Raw genomic sequence first — 23,847 nt, 5'->3', positions numbered from 1 at the left:
TGACACTTTTTTATTTTACTGCTACCTCTTCTTGACGTTTGACTATTATTTTTAAGAGTTAAACTTTCAGAGGATTTCTTACCAATGATGACTGCCACTTTATCACGCACTGTAGCAACAGTCGATTAAAATTTATAACAGGAATTATTTGTAGAGTGTTACATTTAGATTAAAAAAATTACAAATAAGTCCAAGAGTGTGGATAAGATCTAAGCAGCTATAATACTAGATACAAATTTTTTTTTTTTTTTTTAAATGGAGTCTTGCTCTGTCGCCCAGGCTGGAGTGCAGTGTCGTGATCTTGGCTCACTGCAAGCTCCACCTCCCGAGTTCACGACATTCTCCTGCTTCAGCCTCCCGAGTAGCTGGGACTACAGGCGCCTGCCACCACGCCCAACTAATTTTTTGTATTTTTTTAGTGGAGACGGGGTTTCACCGTGTTAGCCAGGATGGTCTTGATCTCCTGACCTCGGGATCCACCCACCTCGGCCTTCCAAAGTGCTGGGATTACAGGTGTGAGCCACCGCACCCGGCCGACATTTTTTTTGTGAAATACCGACATCCCAAGAAATAATCAGCCAACAGTGTGATGTAACTGCCATTAAAATAGCCTATGCTACGAATGCATGGATTTACACAGATTTATGTTTTAGGTTATTGCATTGTTTTCTGTATCGGTACTCAAATTGGCTTCTGTGTCCTTTTGAGAAGTCCCTAGCAGTTTTTTTTTTCTTTTGAGACGGAGTCTCACTCCGTTGCCCAGGCTGGAGTGCAGTGGTGCAATCTCAGCTCACTGCAAGCTCTGCCTCCCGGGTTCACGCGATTCTCCTGCCTCAGCCTCCCGAGTAGCTGGGACTACAGGCGCCCGCCACCATGCTCGGCTAATTTTTTGTATTTTTTTTGTAGTAGAGACGGGGTTTCACCGTGTTAGCCAGGATGGTCTCAATCTCCTGACCTCGTGATCTGTCCGCCTTGGCCTCCCAAAGGTTTGGGATTACAGACGTGAGCCACCGCACCCAGCCGATATTGTTTTATTTTAATCAAGGCAAAACTGTATGTAAATACTGCTTGAATTATACTTTATTTTTTTTTTTTTGAGATGGGGGTCTCACTCTTTCGCCCCAGCTGGAGTGCAGTGGTGGTATAATCATAGCTCACTACAGCCTCAAACTCCTGGGCCCAAGTGATCCTCCCACCTCAGCCTCCCAAGTAGCTGGGACTACAGGTTCATGCCACCATACCTGGCTAATTAAAACCAAAATTTTTTTTTTTTTGTAGATCCTGGGTCTCCCTATGTTGCCCAGGGCTCAAGTGATCCTCCCGCCTCTGCCCCCCAAAGTGATGGAATGACAAGTGTGAACCATGCACTCAGCCGAATTATATTTTATATGCTGGAGCATGAGAGCTATGTTTTATTATTTATGAAAGTTTAAAAATATATTTGAATAATGTTTTAGGTGCCTTATAAGATACAGGCTGCTGATTTGTTTTGTTAAAACAGGCAAAAGATTTATTCATTCTGAAGAGAAACCAGATCATGACAGACTGCTTTTTAAATGCTTATAATTTGGTAGTGGTTGAAAAAATATGCATATTAAAAGGTGACATCATAATAATGTTAACACTTAGTGGGTTATAAATGGCTTTTCCATGCATTCCCACCTGTGAGGTGTATAGATTAGGTTTTATTCTCTTTCACAGTTGAAGAAACTGGGGCTCCGGGAAGTTAAAATGACTTGATGTAATGCCTTAATGTCAAAAGCCAGTAGCATCAAAAAGAAAATGTCAACGTTCTGACTTCTGGTCAATAATCTTTTTACTGTTGTCCAGTTTTGAGAAGAGCAATAAAACTGCACTTAGGGGTACAGGAGGAAAGTAGCCAGACATCTTTAATGTTGATATTTGAATAGGTATCATAAAGAGATAATATTTGAAGAAGAATAGACAAATTTCAACAAGTGCAGTTGAAACAGAACTAAAAGCAGAAAAGTGGAAATTTGTGGGACATGTTAGAATGATACCAGCATACTCACTTGAAGAGTAAAGTGCATATAAAGGTGGTACCATATGGCTAGATAGGTACTTTGGAACCATAGAATGGAGAACTTAGGAGACTCTTAGGCTGTCGTAATAATACAGGTGATAGGTACTGTAGAAAGAGAGACGTGGCTGTAAGAGGTGTTGGATACATTTTAGAACGTGTAGATTTTTAAAGCTTCATTTGTATTATGTGAATATAAGTTATTTTCCCTTTTCCTCAAGGACTCCATCTCACCAAAAGCCCCTCATTTTCAGGTGAGATCTAAAGTAAATAAGTATTTTTCCCTTCTGAAAATTTTCTTTTATGATGGATTTAACATAGTTTCTTACCTGCTCTATATTTATAAAAAGTTTCAAGTTAATAATACTAATAAAACTATTATTATAAGACTACCAAAAGCAGTTTAAAATTTCTTTGTGGTTCTTTTTAGTTCTTAGATTATATTCCCTAGAGATGTATGCAGCGAAAGTACTGTTGTAAGGTGTGTTAGTGTTCTTTGTTAGTAGACAGTTTTACTGGTTTACAATACTAAAATGTTCTTTCTCATTCATTTTGTATGTAGATAAGGTGGGTTGACTGTGGCTCTCTTCCAGTTGTCTGCTCATTTGGATAGCCAAGCTGTTGAAGTAGACCCCATATAGGACATGCTCGTTGAGCAAGAGAGCTGGCAGACACTTGTAATGTCTCTTAAATCTTGTGATTGGATATAGTGTGTATCACATCATCTGGAATTCCACTGGCCAAATTAGGTCACATAGCCAAGGTCCAAGTTGCTGGGATGGGGATGAATAACTCTATTTCAGGAAAAAAGAATGCTTAAATTCTGAACCAGTAATACATTCAACCTCTACAGCCACTTAAATTGATTCTTCCCATGTGTTGATGCCATCATAGTTACCATTATTAGGGTTAGTTTTGTTTTTTGTTTTAAGGGGATTCTCTGATAACCAAGGTGGACAGATGACTGAAGGTAAGAAGAAAAGGCTTTTGTTACCCTTGTCTGTACCTGTCTTCTACAGCATGGAAGGGGCAAATGATGGAATCTGTATTTGTCTTCCCAGGCTTTCTCAGCTTAGTGTGACTGTTATAGATTGAATTGTATCCTCCTAAATTCGTAAGTTGGAGTCCTAACCTCCAGTACCTCAGAATGTAATCTTACTTGGAAATAGGGTCCTTATAGAGATACTTAAGTTAAAATGGGATCATTTAGGTAGATCGTAATACCTTATGATTGGAGTCCTTATAAAAAAGAGAAAATTTGGGCACATACAGAGGGAGAACAGTGTGAAGACACAGGGAGAACATGGCAAAGTGACTAGAGTGATGTGTCTACAAGCCAAGCTCTATGGTCCGAATTTGTCCCTCCAAAATTTATGTTGAAACCTGATCTCCATTGCAGTGGTATTAAGAGGTGGCTTTTTTGGAAGTGCTTAAGACATAAGGGCTTTGCCCTCAGTGAATAGAATTGTGACCTTATAAAAGAAGTTGAAGGGAACCCCCAGGCTCCTTAAACAGTATGAGGAGGACATGGCCAGAAGGCACCATTTATGAAGCAGAGAGCCTTCACTAGGCACTGTATCTGCTGGCACCTTGATCTTGGGCTTCACAGCCTCCAGAACTGTGAGAAAAAACTTCCGTCTAAGGTATTTTTTGTTGTATTTTGTTTTTTTGTTTTTTTTCCGGTAGCCCCAAATGGACTAAGACACCAAGGAAGCTAGGAGAGAGGCCTGGAACAGACCCCTCCTTAGCACACCTTCAGAGGGAATGCGGCCCTGTGAACACCTTGATTTTGGACTTCTATAAGACAATAAATTTCTGTTGTTCTAAGCCTCTTAGTTTATGGTACTTTATTGTCACGCTAATTTAGAACTTTGCTAGAAAGCACCTTTAAATAGAAGTTTGGCAGCCAAGGCAGGAAGAAATTAGCTTGAGGCTAGCTTATTTTTTAACCTTTATTGTGTAATGAGTAGTCTAACTGCTAAGTAGATGGCAGGAGGAGAGGGGTCTGTCTATTTAGATTGGGAAACATACCTTCAAATCTGTTACTTTTTCAGCCTGAAAAAGTGAAATATACTTGAGTTAGTTCTTTCTAAGATGGAAATCTGTATTGAACCACACTATACTGATTAGTAGGGAAGTTTTGAAAGCTAGAAGATATTATGAATTGTGTCCCCACAAAGATATGTTGAGGTGCCAACTCCCAGTACCTGTGAATGTGACTTATTTGGAATGGAAATAAGATCTTTGTAAATCAAGTTAAGATGACGTTATTGGCATGGGCCCTATTCCAGTATGACTGGTGTTTTTATAAAAAGAGGGAAATTTGGACACAGACAACACACAAAGAGGAGAATGCCACGTAAAGACTCAGACACAAAGCAAGGTGGCCATGTGAAAATGGAGGCAGAGACTAATTTTGCCGCTACAAGCCAAGGAATGCCGGGTGCTACCGAAGCTGGAAGATGGATAGAACGACTCTCTTTTCCGTTGGAGGGATCGTGGCACTGCCAACACAGTTCACTTCAGGCTTCTAGCCATAGAACTATGAGACAATTAGTTTCTGTTGTAATTTTAAGTGGCCCAGTTTGTTGTAGCTATCACAGTAGCGCTGGGAAACTGATGCAGAAGGACATGTGGATTTTGAGAGTACTTTGTGGTCTTTGGGGCTGTTGTCTTACATCATTACATTTTGTACAGATTACCAGAATGGATAAACCACAAATTCCTAAACCGTGTTGTGCATGGTGTTCACCTTCACATGTTTCAGAAATATTAAGGTACTTAATATTACTCAAGTTTGAGAAAGATTGAGTTAAAATGTATTTATGTCTTTATTGTGATATAAGTAAGTTCCTTGGAAAGCAAAACATTAAGATATTATTCATTAACATTTTGTTATATTAGGTTGTTCAGCCTGTCACCTACCTGGCTTTAAGGAACGAAATATACTTGGTGGCGGTGAGGGTTGGGGAGGTAGCATAGAAAACTTGGAATATAAGTCTGTTTGAAAAGGGCAGTGGGCTCCGTTGATGTTAGAATGCCGGGGATCAGATTTCAGGCTCACGAGAAGGTGGGGATGAGGAAGTTGTCAAGGCAGAGAGGTTAATTAGTGAAATAGTGCCCGATTTTGAGGTGGTTGGTAAGAAAAAGGTTGATCTAGGGAAAGCGTTGATAGAAGCGTAGGGAGAGCTGTGCTTACTCACATTTTTCCCTAGGCTTAGGCTTCCTGTTGGTAAAGAGGTTGATCATGGCTCATACGCAAGGACTTTGGAAAGAAGGAAAACCCTATCTTATGCTTGAATATCTTCTAATATATCCACAGCAATTATTGATGCAGTCAGGAATAGCAGTGTGAGTGTAGACTAGTTTCTTGGCATTATTAAACACATATGCCTCTCTATTCTCTAGCTCTTTCACTCCCTACATCTCCTCTGTTCTTTCTTACGTATCCTCAAGGTACACAGGGATGGGTATGGAAACTGTACCAGGTATAACTTGGAAATCTGGCTATAAAGAATTTCAGATTTTTTGCCCAGCTAGCCCTGCTCCCTTTATTCCTTATGTAGCAAACAGGTTGAGTATGTAATGAATCAATTCTCCAGTACCAAAGACCTGCATTCTTTGTTGCTGTGTATGTGGTAAAGAACGCTACCCCATGTTTGGAGTCCTGAATGGGTTTTCTTGGGAAATAAATGCTGCAAGAGAGAGACTAGTTTCAAGTTTTGGTTAGAAGGAAAGGGATTGCAACCCTTTGGCACCTTCTACAATACAAGTGATGAGTCTGGGCAAAACAAACAAAAACGTGCTGAATCCCACCAGAAGGAAAGACAGTGTGTTGCGGGAGCAGTGCGCCTTTACTGCAGCTTCCACACTCCGCTACACCTTCTACTAAAGTTTGGTAGCAAATGGGGTAAGTTTGGCTATGAAGCCCACTCTTCACTGTATTGTTCCTTTATATTAATGGATTTCTATATTGCTACAGTGTTAAGGGCCTAGAACAGTGGCAGGCGTGTAGTGTAGTACTCAGTAAAACATTTGTTACATGCATGATAGAAAAACTAAATTTAAGTAAAATGATTGAATCTTTCCAAATAGAAGTCCATTTATAGAAGTGTAGTCTCAGAAAATTTATAATTTTCATTCCTCCAATATGTTTTAGAGTTAGTAGATGCCATGTGTTATATCAAAACTAGAGCTTTGATACTCTGATATTTATGGCTTTTAAGTACCTTTTTTGTTTATTAAGTATAAACTTATCAATATGTATTCCAACATGAACACAACAGAAACCAAACTAAAGATTTAGGTTGTGTTAAAATATGACCAGTACTGTGGGCTAAGGAGCCTGTTTTCCAGTTTTTCCAGAGAAACTCTTTGACAAAAATATTTGTCACCAATATTGCCATGAGGGACTCAATAGGTCTCAAACATTTTGGTCTTAGGATCTTGTTACAATCTTAATTTATTGATGATCTCAAAGAGCTTTTGTTTATGTGGGTTATAGTTATCAATATTAAATGTATCAGATATTAAAATGGAAATTTTGTATTACTTACTAATGTATTTTTTTTCTTTTTTTGAAATCAAACTCTCTCTTTGTCACCCAGGTTGGAGTGCAGTGGTCCTGTCTTGGCTCACTGCAACCTCCACCTCCTGGGTTCAAGCGATTCTCCTGCCCCAACCCCCCAAGTAGCTGAGATTACAGGTGCATGCCACCACACCTGGCTAATTTTTGTATTTTTAATAGAGACAGGGTTTCGCCATGTTGGCCAGGCTGGTCTCGAACTCCTGACCTCAAGTGATCCACCCGCCTCGGCTTCTCAAAGTGTTGGGATTACAGGCGTGAGCCACTGCGCCTGGCCATTTCATTCATTTGCAGGAAAATGTCTGCCAAATCCCCAGTCTGAATAACTATATTGTCATTTCTTCTTTGAAGTATAAACGCTGTTCCATGAAAAAAGTGGCTAGTGTAACTTGCAATTCAAACCATTGCAGTCCTGTTTTTTGAGACAACCATCATTTTAGTATGCAACGGAAGTAACTCTGTTACTTAGCACTTTGTTACACACACAGCATATTAAAAAGATGTGTATTTGAACATTTAAGATTTTCATAATATCACCTTTTCTGTTTCATTCAAGGATATTCTTCAGGGAATTTTTTTTTTTTTTTTGAGTGCATAGTGGTGAAAAAATACAATGACTACTAGTAATACCATCAGGTCTTGATTCGTAATACTAAGGTGTGAGCAGTTTTACCCACTATCGCTTTGTAACATTGGTGCAAATGCCAATGGAGTGAAAAATGCAAGTAATATCTTAGTAATACCATAAAAGTAATTTTGACCTCACAGTTCCCTTAAAAAGTCTTGGGAACTCCAGGGGTCTACGGATCCCAATTACTATGCTAAATAAAAAGTTGATCACATTTTGTCATTAGTATAATAGAATACCGTATCTGATTTTAAGTTTTGAACACCTTGAACAGCCTTAACAGTGAAGTACATTGCTGTGTGTCTTTTAAGAAAGAATCTTCTAAGAAGGTACTATTCTATTAAGAAATATTAAGAGTTAACTTTGCAGTTAGAATCTGTAACTTGACTGGGTAGGGCACATATAAGGAATGTACACGGTAGGGCCTCAGTGTGGTTATGGAGTGATGTACTTCTCTTCTCCCCAGCCCATGTGCCCTGGGGGCTTTTTTGTTTGCCTGTTTTTTAAATAGTACATTTTATATGACAGTACTGCCAACTGTTTTCTCTCATCCTGTGAAATTGACCTATGAGACTTTCATGGTGGATTTCTCCTAGTTTTCAATAAAAGTTGGAAGCCTTCTCCAATTTATGTCAGTTATCTTTACTCCATATACTTTTCCCTTTTTCTTCTGGGTTTACTAGTAGCTGGGTTGTGTGTGAGTGCACATCTGTATGTGTCAATCTATTAGCTGAGTACTAAATTTAGTTTGCATCGTCTTCACTCGATTTGAGCGAGCATTTATTGCCCTGTGGGGGATGGATGTTGATCTCTTCACAGTTTTTTTTTAAAACTATACTTTGATACTTGGGCTGTTATCAATCACATATTTCTGCTTCCTGAACAATCTTTTGGACATTTTTACTCTAGCCCTTCCAGAGAATTGACTGAGTATAACCAATCCATGGACACAAGTTTTGATTTACTTACTAGTCTGAGTTACGTAGGATTTTTTTCCCTCATGAGGAACCAAGGAATAACCACATCTTCTTCTAATACAGTGTTTCATAAACATTACTGTGGGTAGTATTTATTACCCTGGCCTCCTTTTCTCTTTGTTCTTCCTATAATATTTGAGTTTTAAGCAGAGTTCCTATCTATTCAGGTGATTAACTGTCCTTGTAAAGCTTTAGCATGTGTTCCACTCTTTGAGATTCTTAGATGAAACCCCGTCTCTACTGAAAATACAAAAAATTAGCCGGGCACGGTGGCGGGTGCCTATAGTCCCAGCTGCTCGGGAGGCTAAGGCAGTAGAATGGCGTGAACCTGGGAGGCGGAGCTTGCAGTGAGCCGAGATCGCACCACCACACTCTAGCCTGGGCAACAGAGCAAAACTCTGTCTCAAAAAAAAAAAAAAAAACAGATTCTCAGAACATGTCTGTTCCAAAGCTAGAATAAGTAGTTAGTTTTAGTTGATAAAGTCTCATTAGCTTTCTATTGTAATACAGATTCCTATTCAGACACACTCAGTATTTTATGCTAGTCAGACAGATTTTGACAGATCTTGATTTTAGTTTATTTTTATTTATTTATTTATTTTTTTTTTGAGACGGAGTCTTGCTTAGCTGCCCAGGCTGGAGTGCAGTGGTGCAATCTCAGCTCACTGCAGCTACCGTCTCCTGGGTTCAAGCGATTCTCCCATCTCAGCGTCCTGAGTAACTGGGATTACAGGCACCTGCCTCATGCTGGCTAATTTTTGTATTTTAGTAGAGATGGGGTTTCGCCACGTTGGCCAGGCTGGCCCTGAACTCCTGACCTCAGGTGATCCACCCGCCTCGGCCCCCCAAAGTGCTAGGATTACAGATGTGAGCCACCGCACCTGGCCAATTTTTATTTTTCGTGTCTGACTTTCTAATTCTTTGCCAGACTGACATTGCTTTACCTTAAGTTCTGTGACTGATTACTGCTTAGTTATTGAAAATATGTACCAGAAGTATGACCTATCTTCTTATCTCTTAGCATTTTCATTTCTTGTCCTTCTTTGTTCCCCTGTTGATATACCTTGACTGTAATTTATTCAGTTATTCCATACATATTTATTATTTCCTAGGATATGTATTTTTATGTTTTAGAAGGATCTTAGTTATAATCTGTGTAAATAATCACTTTTATACATTTAGGAAGTTGAAGTCAATGTCTGTGGGCAATGAGGCAGCTCATCAGAGGTCTTTTGGGTATAAAAAGAAATAAATTTGTAGCTAATGACTCTTGGACTTAAATCAAAGTGACTCATCATATAATGGATGCTAGTTTACTGCTTTCAAGCCTCAAGAGCTTTGCTGAGACTTTTAAAAAATTGCTTAATTGAGATTATGAGTCAGTGTTCCCTATCATCAAATAAACAACAAATATTCTGTTTTTTAAAAAAGCATTTTGTGAAAACCATTCTTACCTGTGGGCTATACAAATATAGGTGACAGGTTGAATTTGACATACAGGCTGTAGTTTGCAGATCCCTGGCTTAGATCACAGTTGAAACCAGTTTGATACTAGAAGTCTCAGTTAACTAATGAATAATTGATTTGGTGTGTTGTTTTTCCTTCCTTCCTTCCTTCCTTCCTTCCTTCCTTCCTTCCTTCCTTCCTTCCTTCCTTCCTTTCCTTCCTTTTCCTTCCTTTCCTTCCTTTCTTTCCTTTCCTTTCTTTCTTTTCTTTCGTCAGAGTTTTCCTCTGTTGCCCAGGCTGGACTGCAGTGGTGCGATCTCGGCTCACTGTAACCTCCACCTCCCGGGTTCAAGCAATTCTCATTCTTCAGCCTCCCGAGTAGCTGAGATTACAGGCCTGCGCCACCATGCCTGGGTAATTTTTTTGTATTTTTTTTTGTAGAGATGGGGTTTCACCATGTTGATCAGGCTGGTGTCAAACTCCTGACCTCAGGTGATCTGCCTGCCTTGGCCTCCCAAAGTGCTGGGATTATAAGTGTAAGCCACCATGCCCAGCTGGTGTACTGTTTTTTTTATGTCTTTATATGTTGGTGTTTATAAAGGTTGATAAGTCTTAATAAACATCATGTGCAGTAGGTACTGAAATATTTCTTAATGAGATGAGCTTATTGTTTTCCCTTTTCCTGATTCCTGGAGATGTCTGTCTGAGATCTGACCCTGATTTTGGTCTTCTAATACATTTTTTAGGCCTATAAAAATGCTTTCTTAAAAATTGCTTTATGACCTCATACTCTCAGGTAGCTTGCAAGGTTCCTATATACAACTCTGTGACATATACTGACTCACGTCTTTGAAGTTTAGAAGTAGAGGAGACTGTCTGATTCCATTTTCTCATTTTATAGATGACACAGAGACCCAGAAAATTTGCATCACTTGTCTAAAATCATATAGGCCATCCAAGATGTTATTTTTAATTTACATCCGAGCTCTGGATTCCAATGAAAGAGAGAAGGAAAAGTAATTTAAGTTCGTCACATCTAAGTTATAATTATACTTTAGTTTTGGACTAAGTTATGTTTGTAAGATAAAGTAATTTCGATTACACATTTGACTTTAGATCATGCAAAGAGTGTCCAGATCTCTTAAAAATGTGCTATAGCTAGGAGATTTAAGAAGATAATCTTATTTCTTTCTTTGTGTCCATAACTCTTTCACTGTTTTTTTCAGTCATCTAGATTTAAAATTATGTAATCGAGGATCACAGTTGGGCCCTGGCTTCAAGAATGGAATCAGAAAAGAATATGCTGTCTGTCTTGATTGAGGGTGACATTTAAAGTAGTACTTTGATGTGTAGGAGAACTAGGAGAGGATTAAATATTTGGAGCAGTAGTTGTCCAGCGAGTATATGCTGAACTGAGTTTTGTGATGCTGAAAATGCTGTACATATTCAGCTCACTGAATAGTCGTAGCTGGATTGCCTCACTAGTCCTGTGTTTTTGTAATATTTGCTGAATTATTGGCTACAAAGTTATGCAGTAAAATGATATTTCATGGTGAACATTTACAATATTAAGCGAACTTTTGAATATAGCCACCAATTGGCTAAATATTAAGACTAATTTTGGATTTGCTTTTGGCTACATTAATATAGCTATGGTTTGAATTAAGTAGTTGATTGCCTATAAGTGATTGGAATTTTAAATAAAAGCTTTTATGAGTATACAAGTGATTTCTGAGAGGAGGAAAGTTACAAAGATCTAATTTTTGGGAGGATCTCAGTTAATATTTAAGAATGAGTAAATATGATCAGGTAGAATATACAAATAAATCCTTTGTGAATTTAGGAAGTGTCTATTTTGAATATCCTGTTTATTTAATAAGCCATAAGCTCTTTGAGGGCAGGACTTCATTTATGCATGATATACTCTTCATCAGGCCTGATACCTGGGTGGTGAAGTGTAAAGACTGGATGAGTGTCTCAGTGCTGTTTTGTGACCTAGTTTAAAGACAGTTGTTCTAAAAGATACCAGAATGGAGGAACTATAGTGGTAAGTCTTCTTGTGTACTCTTTGAGATCTGATTCCTAGTATTTAGTACTCATGCGGGCAGGGGAAGACTACATCACATCCTAGAGCGTTCATTTGGCTATATAAATAAACCATAATGGACAAGTTCTAAGTTCTGCAAAGCCTTATTAAGTCCACTCATGAAGTAGTGGCATTTTCTCTAATTTCACTCTTTGGCACATAGGCTTTTAAGTTGTTTTAGAAGTAAGCCTTTCAAGGTCTTTTTCCTTTAAAAAAAAAACTTAATTGCCGGGAACTAATATAGCACTATGATCAATTAAATAATCAGTTTATAGCAGTTTGGACAGATAACTTTCCTGCTCTTATTTGGTATTTTTTATTATGACTTAAAAATATACCAGCAATATATATTTATTGCAGGAATTTTTAAAAGCAATAATTTATATCATTTTGATTTGTATTTTTCTTTGCCCTGGAATGCATTAGGTGGTGCTGGAAGCATCACTTGTTACTAGTTTCAGCTGGGAAATTGATGGCCTTTGCTAATCAGAATGAGCATTGTGAAAAACCTTTGCAGGTTGGATACTTTCATCCAAGTTTTGGACTGAATGATATTAGGGGAAAAGAAAATTTACTGTTTCTTTGTCAGTCTGTCTCAGTTGGATTCCACCTAGCCCATCTCATTTTGGGAAATCCTAAAAATAAAATAGTTGCTAATTGTTCCCCGTGACAAACATATTCATGATTGATCAAATTATGATTTAATTTCTTATAATTTTATCATGGATGGGGTTGGATGTTTTGTTTTTAAAGTCATTCAATTTAGCATGCCTTCAGAATTGACTGTGCCTGCTATGTGTGCCGAGCACAATACCGCACCTTACTGGTGGTTAGGCTAAAGTTGAGGAAGGTGTCCTGCCAGAACATTTACCATCTAGTGTACTATAGTACATCTAGACCAGTGCCCTGGGCCAGTATCCTCAAAAGAGTATTTGACTTATTCCATTAAGCATGTAATAAACATTCAGGTTATATAAAGTTAATTGTACTCTTTGAATTAATTTTTTTGGTGAAGAGGGTACCTTTTCTTTAGATGAAGATATTGTAATTGTCACTCTTCCTCTGTGGTTTCCCATCTCAGTAATTGACAGTACCAACCGTTCAGTTGTCCAGAGAGAAACCTTTGATTCTTTCCTTTTCCTCAACTATGCCTCAACTATGCATCCAGTCAGTTACCATTGAGTCTACCTTCTAAATATTTTTGGAACCCCAGTGTTCCTCTGTGACAGTCCAGGATTTAGTCTTCTCCTGAGTTACTGCAATATTTTCCTAATTTGGCTCCCTAATTCCTCTTACTCCAATCTAGCTTCTTTATAGTCTGTGCTTTTCCCTGCTCTTCCTGAAACTGTTTAATGGATTTGTTTTCTCTTAGTGCTGCCTTGAAGGTCCTCCTGAATATAGTTTCTGCCTGCATTTCAAGCCTTACTCGTCTCTGTCCTCACTCATTCCTTCCACACCTGCTGCAGCTCATGGGATGCTTCTGTTCACTCCCTCCCTTCCCCAAGCACCCTTGTTTTCGTGCCCCTCCTTTAGTCTGAATACCAAGGACACTCCTTCTAAATGTGTTCCTAGACTGCTAACTTTAGTTAGGGCTTCTTCTGTGTGTGTCCACTAGAAAATTGTCATTGCCTCCCATTTGTCTTTCTCCCTATGACAAGCTTGATGGGTGGTACTTAGTCACCACTTTGTCCTCAATGTAGGGCAGTAGCAGTTTGTCACCTGGTAGCCTACTCAAATGCTTGTTAATTTTTGATTTTTTTAAAAAATCTGCTAACTGTATCATAAAGAAATCCATGATGTGGCAGGACAACCAGCATAGTTCCACGTTAGATATTTCTTTATGCTGAATAGATGTGAATATATCATTTTTAAAGAGGAATTGGCAAACTACACTCTGTGGACCAAATCTAGCTCGCTTTCCTTTTATAAGAATCACAAGCAAAGAAAGGTCTTTACATTTTTATAAGTGCTTAGGAAAAAAAAATCAGAAGAATAATACTTTATGATACAATGATATTATGAAATTCAAATTTCAGTGTCCATAAGTTGAGTTTATTGGAACACAGCCACACTCGTTTGTTTACATATTGTGTGTTGCTGCTTTTGCACCACACAGCAGAATTGAGTAATTGTAACAGGCTGTATGGCTGATAAAGCCTGAAATATTTATTGTTTGGCTCTTTATATAAAAGTTTCCTGACCTCTCCTTTCAGTCATTTCTGTGACATGAGGACAAATAAGTATAATTAGATATATTTGAGTCATGCCTCAGTTTTCTTTTTTCCCCCACTTCGTGTTAAGGTTTAAGTATGTCCAGTAAGAAAGCATCATTTGAGTTTTGGGAACTGTATTCCAGCCTATCTCATACATACCTAGAGCTTTTTGAGACTTGAACATTACAGATGAGATGGTGAGAAAATAGAGACTTCATATCCTGCCAAGTTTCATAGATAAAACTGGAGTGGATAACTCATGGTTCTACCCCACCCAATGGTCTTTTCCCAAGTAACTGATATTCTTTTTTAACTAAATCAGCCTTCTTGCAAATAACTAATATTTTTTATTTTTAAAATTTACTTCTTTTTACAGTTAAGGAGAAAAAGTGAGCAACATTTTATGCTATTTGATAAAATCATTAAAATATTATGCTAAAGCCCTCTAAAAAATTTTGTTTTATTTTTGCCAGTATGTTACTTTGAAGAAAAATAACACCAGCCATGTTTTGGTTGTATAATCATTTTCCTAACTATTGGAAGCAACTTTGTCAGGTTTTATTATTAGGCAATGTAGAACCTTCGTTTTACATCATTTAATAAAATCAAATGGTTTTTACAACATTGTTTACATCTTGTTTAAAAATATTTTACTGAGAAAATAATTAACTTTGTTTTATTTTTAGGGTTATATCCTGTGTTGTGACCTCATGGTTTAAGTGGGAATAAAGATGAGTATAAGCAGTGATGAGGTCAACTTCTTGGTATATAGATACTTGCAAGAGTCAGGTGAGTACTTTTATAAAGTAAATAGGCCTCAAATTATTTTAATATTCTCAAAATAATCTTTTATGCATTTGAAATTTGTATCAGTCCAAACCGTTGAACTTTGTATGTTTTCTTAATGTCTGGACTGCCATTTTAAAGCTATGTTTTACTGCATGGTTTAACTCTCTGACTCTTTCAAATATGTTGCAAACAAGGCAATTATTTGTAACAGTTTGGCTTTCGTTGTTCAAAGACCATTTTTATAATCTGTTATGAGGTGAGATTATTGCATATGTAGTAGGAACATAAAAACTTTTAGCCACCATCAGTTTGATAATGTATATCCAGAATTCTCAATTAAATGTTGTTGGTCCTAATTGTAGTTAGTATTTTGGAAATTAAATTAACAGTATTTTCCTAGAATGCTTTCAAAATTATTATTTGAATTAAGTGTATCCTTGATCTGAATTGTTATTATTGTAATGGGAGTAATTATAAATAGAAATCATTGAAAGCCATTTGCAACTAATATTAAATCAATCAGTGATCTTCCAAGTTTTATTGATAGATAAAACAGAAGGAATACTGCAAGGGGAAATGTGGATGGATTAAGCAAAAATTTAAAAGTAGAAGAGGGAACATGGTTGGGTATGGGTGGAGGTATAGGATGGTGAGAAAGATTAATTGCAATGGAAATGCCGATTGCTACTAAAAAATGAAAGCATTTGGTGATTTTAAATGTCATGGTCTAGAGATTGAATTTTAGAAATTATACCTTAAAGTTACTGTAATGTTTTAGCAGTAAGGTGAGGTGCCCCATAAAAAAGATAATTTTGGTAGTCAAGTGTGAGGGAGGATGGAAGGATAAAGTAGAGGTCTAAGCTTGTAGAATATTGAGCCCCCAGTTTATGGTTTTGAGACTTGAATCATTCTTCTTGTATGGCATAGTTAGTTGTCCTTTCCTATGCAAGGAATACAAACATGGCTTTCGGTCTGAGAGCCTGTTGCTTGCTGAGATGTTCCCAGCTGTTCTTCAGTGCTGAGCATTTTTTGGGGGTAGGGGTTTTCTATTCCCAAGCACCATCACTGCCCCTCTCTGAGGTGTAACAGCTGTGAAAGTGATGTCCAGAAGGACAGGGAGGGAAAGAGAGATTAGTATCCAAGCCCACAGAGAATAATTTATAATGAAGCTTTGAAGTTAATAGCTCTTGTTTTGTTTTCTTTGTTTAAACTGGTAGACTGGTACTGAAGGCAGATCTAAAGAATGTTTTGAATAAGATAAAATGATTAATAAAGTGAAAAAGTAGTGACTAGTGATTGTTACGTATGTAACTTGTAAACAAGTTTAACAATTTCAAATACTTGTGTTTGAAAGTTGTGTAGCACTTTCAACCCAAATGGAAAAAATTTGTTGGGTTAAAGCAAACTCTTCTTTCTGCTTTTAAATTTAATCACCTTTTAAGCCAGAGCTTTGAGACTTTTGGACACTGGAGCAAAAACCATTGTGAAGGATCAGTAGATGGGAAATATATTGTAAAGGCTTGTTGGTGTATGGTAAAGACAACTATTTAGGTTGAGCCATATAAAATTACTGCTTTTGGAAGTTAGAAACAGTTGAATAGCTCAGCACTACCTTGTCGTTCAGTGGTGTTAATGAGAGCAGTAATATTTTTCTTTTTCTAAACAAAAGTCCACAAATTGATACTTGATGTTACTGTAAGAAAACAGTAAAAAGGAGCAGTAAAATAATATTCTCGGTTAATTTCTGAACGAGTAGATTAAATATTATCAAAAGTTGTGGGTTTTTTTGTTTGTTTGTTTTTTGAGACGGAGTTTTGCTCTTGTTGCTCAGGCTGGAGTGCAGTGGCGTGATCTCGGCGGCGGGTTCAAGCGATTCTCCTGCCTCAGCCTCCCAAGTAGCTGGGATTCTAGGCATGCACCACCATGCCTGGCTAATTTTGTATTTTTAGTAGAGTTGGCATTTCTCCATGTTGGTCAGGCTGATCCCAAACTCCCGACCTTAGGTGATCCGCCCGCCTTGGCTTCCCAAAGTGCTGGGATTACAGGCATTACACCCGGCCCAAAAGTCTTCTTAAACTTGCTTTTCTTCTTAGAGAAAAAACCCTTCAAAATTCCATGTTTTAAGGTGTTTTATGTTGAAATAAAAATAAACCAAGAATTAAAAAAAAATTTGTATGGTAGACTGATATATCAAGTTCTCCATAATTGTTTAGTATGTTCTTAGGTGTCCTTTGTGTATTCTTTAGAAAGTTTTAGACTTTACAGTGTAGTGGTGATGCTAAATCACATCTCTAAAAATGTGAAAATCAGTCCCTTGGTAAAAATTGTAACTTCCTGTTTACATTATGATTTATAGGGAAAGATCAGACTCAACTGATGACATTTTGACTTATGGCAGTTTTCCCAGGACTGCAACTTGCCATAAATTTAAGAACTGCTTATGTTAAGAATTCTGAAGTTTGAGCCTCTGACTACCTGCATCAGAGTCACACTGAGTGGGGCCTGGGAATCTGCATTTTACAAATGCCCCAGGTGATTCTTTTGGCTTAATAAAGTTTGAAAGCCACTGGTCTATATTAGTTGTAGGACAATTAGAACTTGACAAGACAATTGGCAAGCATTTAGCATATTCACAATATCTTGACAGAAAAATTATGCTGAGTATTCAAGATAAAGTAGAAAACATGGAATACATGTACATCTGCTGAGGTTTGGGCTATGAGAGCATATCCTAAAGAGGGGCTGCCACTGAAAGTGTATATTTGTGTTTGTGGGTCAGGCGGAATAATGAGATAGCAGAAATAATGAGGCGTTTTTATGTCTTAAAGGGTGCCATGAGATATTTATTTGAAATTGCATCCAGAAATAGGATATGGAAGAGAGTTTGAGAATGTTATAGTTCTGTGAACTCAGGACAGGGTTCAGATAGAACTCAGAATCTCACTCATAACAAATGCCCATAGTAGCTTTAGATCTGGGCACTTGCCACTTATTCCAAAGCTTTTTTTTGGTTCTGATCTCCAATTATACTTAAATGTGGCTACTTTTGCAATAGGTCCTAATTCAGAATCACCAAGTACAGTAATGTCTGGGTTGTTTTGGGGATTCATCATATTTATCACCACAACCTACAAATGATACTTATTGAGAATTAGTCATTCAGTATCTAAGAAATGCGATATAAATTACTCTTAGGTTATAACTATGTTTCTTGAAAGATCTAAAGTAATACCGAAGAAACTGGAATCTTTATACTGCTGCTTTCCCTGCAATAGAGCACTGAATTGGATTAGGAGACAGCAGAAAAGGAACATCGTGGCAAAGGAAGTATTTGTGCAGGGACATTCAAAGGACTGGTTTGTGAAGACTTCCAAAAAGCAAAACTAAAATTTCCGCCTGGCCTGTCTCATTATCAAAGACTGTCCAAAAACACATTATGAAAGTTTTTATGTTTTGATAAATATGTGGTTTAGTAATACTTTTTTTATGTAAGAACTTTTAACATTTGTTCTCTGCATATTGTTCAGTGTTGACTGTGTTATCTATCTGCAGGGGGAAAATCACTTAAATTGTTTTAGGCTTAAATATTTTTTACTGTTGTCAATACTATAAGATACTATCTGTTGAAAGTTTCCCACCTCCAAAATTACATAAATTCTCAGATTCATTTTTCTCACCTATAAAATACGTTGCTGTGGAGAAGGGATTTACATTGTGATATTCAGCCTCAAATATTTGATGGACATCTCTGTTTTAAATAAGCCATCCCTCAGACTCATCAAAACTAATTAAAGAAAAATATATTTATTGTAGGGTTTTTATTAACTATTGTAACTTTTATTTTTTGCAATTTTATCACTAGAAAGTTCACCCTACGCAAATTACTTTGGTCCTCACCATTCTGCCTTTTTATGAAGTGGACTTCCCTATTCAACAAATATTTCCTAGGGAATAAAATGATTTTTTTCTCTTTAGAGATGACTTGAAAACTGAGCGTATTTAATATATAATACTGTAAGTAACGATTAACTTGATTCAAAAGTATTGTTCCTTTAATTAGTGTTTGCCCAGGGGCATTAATTTCATTGCCCTAATAACTTATCTAGCAACCATATGCAGATAAATACTTAGTGGTACATGCCAAGTTGCATATAGTAGAACCTGATACAGTGTTAATTTTAGAGGCACTAAGCTGGTTTGGACCTTTTTAATCTCTCCCCCACCTTTTGCGTCACCATTGACTTCTTTAGTTATTTGCAGTTGTGGTTTGAATAGTTTCTGGCAGTTATTTTTGAACTTTCTGACACCTGGTTTTCTTATAAGACAACCTGTTTTCTATAAGAAGATGTCATTTTATCCAGCTTCAGTTGTATATTTGCTTTAGGGAAAGAATTCTTGATACTAGGTTTAACTATTACATGTCTAAGAGCTCTGTAACTTCTCCATTTATATTGTACTTGACTGTTGGAAGCTATGAAACAGTTGCATCTTATAATTGAACGACTTAACTGGAATTGCAAAATCAAAATGTCCTTGTTACTAAAATGAGTAACTTTCTAGATAGTGATTCTGAATATTATTACTTTTTAAAAATTTATTTAAAAATAACCGATGTTGCATACTGTCTCCATTTTTAAGAAAGGTGATATATAAGAAGGAAATATATAAAATCTGTATTAGGGTTCTCTTGAGGGACGTAACTAATAGGATATATGTATATATGAAAAGGAGCTTATTAGGGGGAATTGACTCACACAATCACAAAGTAAAGACCCACAATAGGCTGTCTGCAAGTTGAGGGGCAAGGAAGCCACTGGTGGATCAGTCCAAGTCCCAAAACCTCAAAAGGCGGGAAGCCAACAGTGCAGCTTTCCATCTGTGGCCAAAGGCCCGAGAACCCCTGGTAAACCACTGGTGTAAGTCCAAGAGTCCAAAAGCTGAAGAACTTGGAATCTGATGTTCGAGGGCAGGAAGCATCCAGCACGAGAGAAAGATGAAGGCTGGAAGACTCAGCAAATCTAGTCTTTTCTATGTTCTTCTGCCTGCTTTATCCTAGCTGTGCTGGCAGCTGATTAGGCGGTTCCCACCCAGATTGAGGGTGGATCTACCTCTTCTAGTCCACTGACTCAAATGTTAATCTCCTTTGGCATACTCTCACAATTATATCCAGGAACAATACTTTGTATCCTTCAATCCAATCAAGTTGACAATATTAACCAGGATGATATATAAGAAGGATAATACATGTAGGCTTCAAGAGTTTGGTTTATGAAGGATCTCCTTATCTCTCTTGCACCCTCCCTCCCTCCATTTTTTCCCCCTAACTTTTTCAATGGGATTTTCCATCTCCTTAGAAATACAGGCCTTGTACCATACCATTTGTTTTTTGAGATGATTATTACTTCAAATGTTATATTTGTAAAATCACAAGTCAGAACCATATACTATTATTTTTTAATTTAGAAAACGTGATCACAGTAGGCACAAACTAACCTTTATGTATAACATTAAAGCTCTGACCTGTACTACCATGTAACATATAGCTCATTCATTCATTTTTTTGTTTCATTGTAGCAGTTTCACATTAGGTCTGTAATGGCTAATGAATATTACAGTGCAGTTTCTTTGTTGACTCAGATAAAGGTAACTGGGCCATTCCTTCCTATGTACCTTATGCCCAGTGCCATTTATGAACAGACATTACCAGTGTATTCGATGGAGTCAGGTTGAAGTGGTTATCAGTAATGTGCTTCTAGTCATGAAGAACTGCAGTGAAGAGAGCTCAGCGTCTGGTATGTCCGCCTTCAGTCTGCCTTTTAGTTTTTATCAGTAGATGACCAGCTACAGAAGTGCAAGTAGGTATATAGTTTTGTTTTATAATCAAATGAAATACAGAATAACCTTGATTTTACACACATGGTTGTATCCATGACTAATTGACAATAAACAGCAAGCAGTTGTCATAAATGCTGATAATTACAATTCTTTTTTTTTCCCAAATAAGTTTTTCTCCTCTTTTTGTAAGCTGAATTACCATTTTTTGCTGACACAGGAAATTCGTATTACACATTCCTGCTAGCACACTTATCAAAGGGACAATGGTCCTTTAATAGTTGCCAAACAGAGAATTTGTTCAATGTTTTTTAGGACTAGCCAGCATAGCGAGAGTATAAGGAAACATGGAAATTGCTTTTGGCATTATTAATAATCTTTTTGGAAAGCAATTTGGCAATGATGAAAACCTTCTTTAAAATGCTTATATCCCCTTCAGCTTTTGAGGGAATCCATCCTAAGGAGAAAAAAACAACACACATTGTACATGGCAAAAGCCTATACATATAGATATTTGAGGTAATATTCTTTTAAAATAGTGATCATTGGAAAAGTTCGAAGGTCCAGCTATGGCGTGAATAATTTACTGGCTGAATATTATGATGCTATTAAAATTATTTCAGAAAGTATTATTTATATAAAATGTTCATAGTTACATGTATTTTTAAGGGCAAAATTAGGGCACGAAATTTTATAGCTAGTGTATCAGTACTAGATCTAGCTCTTCAATAACAAAGATCCCCTGTGTCATTTTTTCCCCATCCTATTTACCTTTTCTAAAATCTGGATCTGTAGGGCAGAGTTGGAGTCAAGAAAGCATTTGATGATGAGAACATGAGTATAATTTGCTGAGCTTTTCTGACTTGAAGCTTATATAGGACCTTGGATCAATCAGATTTTCGTTTCAGACTAGGGCAGTATGTTGTGGTCATATTTAAGCTTTGCCTTTTTTACCAGTTTGTCTCATCTAGTCATCCTGTACCATAATCATGGTGTTCAGAGTCCATTTTCTTATTCTTGTATTGCCTATTTGCAAGGTAGAGTTGGCAGGCTCTGTATGACTAACTCCCCTTTGAGAACACAGTCCCTAACATCCTTACAGAAAGCACTTCCTGAAACAAGCGATCTATAGAAAATGGCTGTTTTGTGATCTTCATGCGTGCCACCCCACTCCCTGCCAGCTGTCGTTGCTCGTCTCTGTCACTGAATGACTATATACTTCATGTGTTTCAGTCTTATTTCTTTCTGGAGTCTCTCTTCTCCCTGAGTCTCAATACCCTAGTCAGTGTTTAGAGTACTTGATTACAGAGGTACTATCAGATTTGCTCTTACACTTGGAAAGAAGGGATGCTATTTTAGATGGTCATGCCGGATTTTAACATCTAACAGATTTAGGTGGTCTCTTTTGCCTCCTATTATATAAATCAAAAGCTGTCCCTGGAAAAAGCCTTTTTCTGCATATATATATTTACAGATAAATGGAAATAGCTTCTGGCACAAAACTAGTTCAAGTTTTAGATTTTTCCAAGGAAGACTTAAGTCATATGCTTTTTCTGGAGTCACAGATTTTTTTGATGTGCCAAAATACATTATAGTATAATTGCATTCTAATTTAAAAAATGTTTATTGAGTACTTGTTGACTCAGGTAATGTGCTAGTTTCCCAGAATTAAAGGATTACTAGACTTAAACCCTTTTGTCAGGATCCCAGTCTAGTAGTCACACACAGGCAAACAACCATAGCCACACAGTTGATAACCAGTGTGGTAAGTGCCACACATACAGAAATTCTAGGATCAGCGTAGGAGAGACTGGTTAGCCCTGGTGTAGTGAAAGAGGATTTCACCTCCATTCAGATAGGAGAAAGAGCAAAGGAGGACATAAGGCTCAGAGGCATGATGTATAACACAGCATATTCAAGATGTTAGATGTAATTTGCCACCACTTGAATTTATTGTGTAATGGGAGTGAGACGGGGTGTGTAGTATTGAGATGAGACTGGAGAGACAGAAGAGCCAGATTACAGAAACAACTGTGTGCCATAATTAGGCGTTTGACCTTTGTTATGAAGGCCAAGGGGATCATTGAAAATTCTCAAGCAAGAAGTGATATGTTCAGTTTTTTGTTTTACAAGTAATAGTCTAGCTGTAGCTTGGCATATATACTGAATTGAGGAGGAGGGGAAAGAAATGTGTATAGCAAAGGGTAATGGGGACTAAACGCAGATCTGGCAGAAAAGGTAAGGTGATGAGCATCTACAGATGGTAGAGTGGTAGGATTTGGAGTAGGATGGTAGGATTTGGTAAATTGTCAAATGCCAAGGGACCGAGAGAGAAGAGGGAGTTAGGATGACTATGACTTTCAGGTGTAGTGAAATGAGATCAGAAGTTTCTAAGGAAAAGTAGTTTTAGGGAGGGGAAGAAGAAAATTGATTTTGAACATAGTAATTTTAAACTGCTATGTAATGCCATGGCTAGAAATAAAGAAAATATTCTAGTTGAATTCAACATTTAAGCAGAGCATTTAAGTTTGGAACTTCTCTAGGGTAAACATTAGTGAGAAGTGCCAAAACAATGCTAATGACTACTTCAGGGATGTTTCATTGCTATTTGAGAGCATCCTAAGTACATCTGCAGTACCTTGAGATGCATGTAAGCACCTGTGATAGTTTTTCTCCTGGTCTGACAGAACAAATTCAGGATATCTGCAACATTCCAGCCAGAAATTGGCACAGTTCCACCTGCAAGTCTTAGACTATTCTTGGACATATTATTACTTTAAACTTAAACTCTATAAGCTAATTAAATAGGGTCCAAATTTAACAATTTTGACTATTTAAATTGCAGTCATGAATAAAGTATACAGAAATCATGTACTTCAAACAAATTTATAAGCATTACATAAGTCAAGACACTTTCAAAACCTTGGCAGTAAATATGGCAATAAGATGGCTCAGTGTTTCATGCACTGTGCAACCACTTTCCAGGACCCTGAGATGAAAACAAAACAGTGATGTAGTCTTTTACTTTCTATCAGGAAACAGGAGCTCACTCTCTCCCTTAGCTTTATCCTTGACCATATTTTAACTGTTCAAGAGGAGTAGTAGAGTCTCTGAATGAATTTGAATCTGTACTTTCTCATTTATTAGTTGTGATTTTCCATTAGATTATAAAATAATAAAATTATATGTGTGTACACAGTATCTAGCATATGGTATAGGCCCTCTGTAAATGATGTCTTCTGTCTTGAAG

General features: G+C 37.2%; 1 protein-coding gene across 18 annotated transcripts in view, besides 2 other annotated features; it reads left to right on the top strand.

Annotated features, from left to right (window-relative positions):
• The window catches only part of TBL1XR1 (TBL1X/Y related 1), a 182,457-nt gene that overhangs the window by 122,116 nt on the left and 36,494 nt on the right, over positions 1 to 23,847 (top strand). For 12 of the 18 annotated variants that reach the window (NM_001374327.1, XM_011513142.3, NM_024665.7 and 9 more), the window contains one exon: positions 14,663 to 14,765. The exons of the other annotated variants lie outside the window; for them this stretch is intronic. In NM_001374327.1, coding sequence (NP_001361256.1) covers positions 14,708 to 14,765 — 58 coding nt within the window. In that variant the 5' untranslated portion in view covers positions 14,663 to 14,707. The remainder of the gene's footprint in view (positions 1 to 14,662; positions 14,766 to 23,847) is intronic. 18 annotated transcript variants of the gene reach the window in all.
• Positions 21,522 to 21,591: an enhancer, noted in NCBI's record as "active region_20836". NCBI's record gives its function as "activates an Ori minimal core promoter by ATAC-STARR-seq in GM12878 lymphoblastoid cells {active_cell/tissue: GM12878}" and the evidence as "EXISTENCE:reporter gene assay evidence [ECO:0000049][PMID:35858748]".
• Positions 21,632 to 21,691: an enhancer, noted in NCBI's record as "active region_20835". NCBI's record gives its function as "activates an Ori minimal core promoter by ATAC-STARR-seq in GM12878 lymphoblastoid cells {active_cell/tissue: GM12878}" and the evidence as "EXISTENCE:reporter gene assay evidence [ECO:0000049][PMID:35858748]".

The sequence above is a fragment of the Homo sapiens genome, chromosome 3 (assembly GCF_000001405.40).
Source record: "Homo sapiens chromosome 3, GRCh38.p14 Primary Assembly".
Classification (NCBI taxonomy): Eukaryota; Metazoa; Chordata; class Mammalia; order Primates; family Hominidae; genus Homo; species Homo sapiens.
Note: the sequence above shows the minus strand (reverse complement) of the source record. Positions and strands in the feature narration are given on the sequence as shown.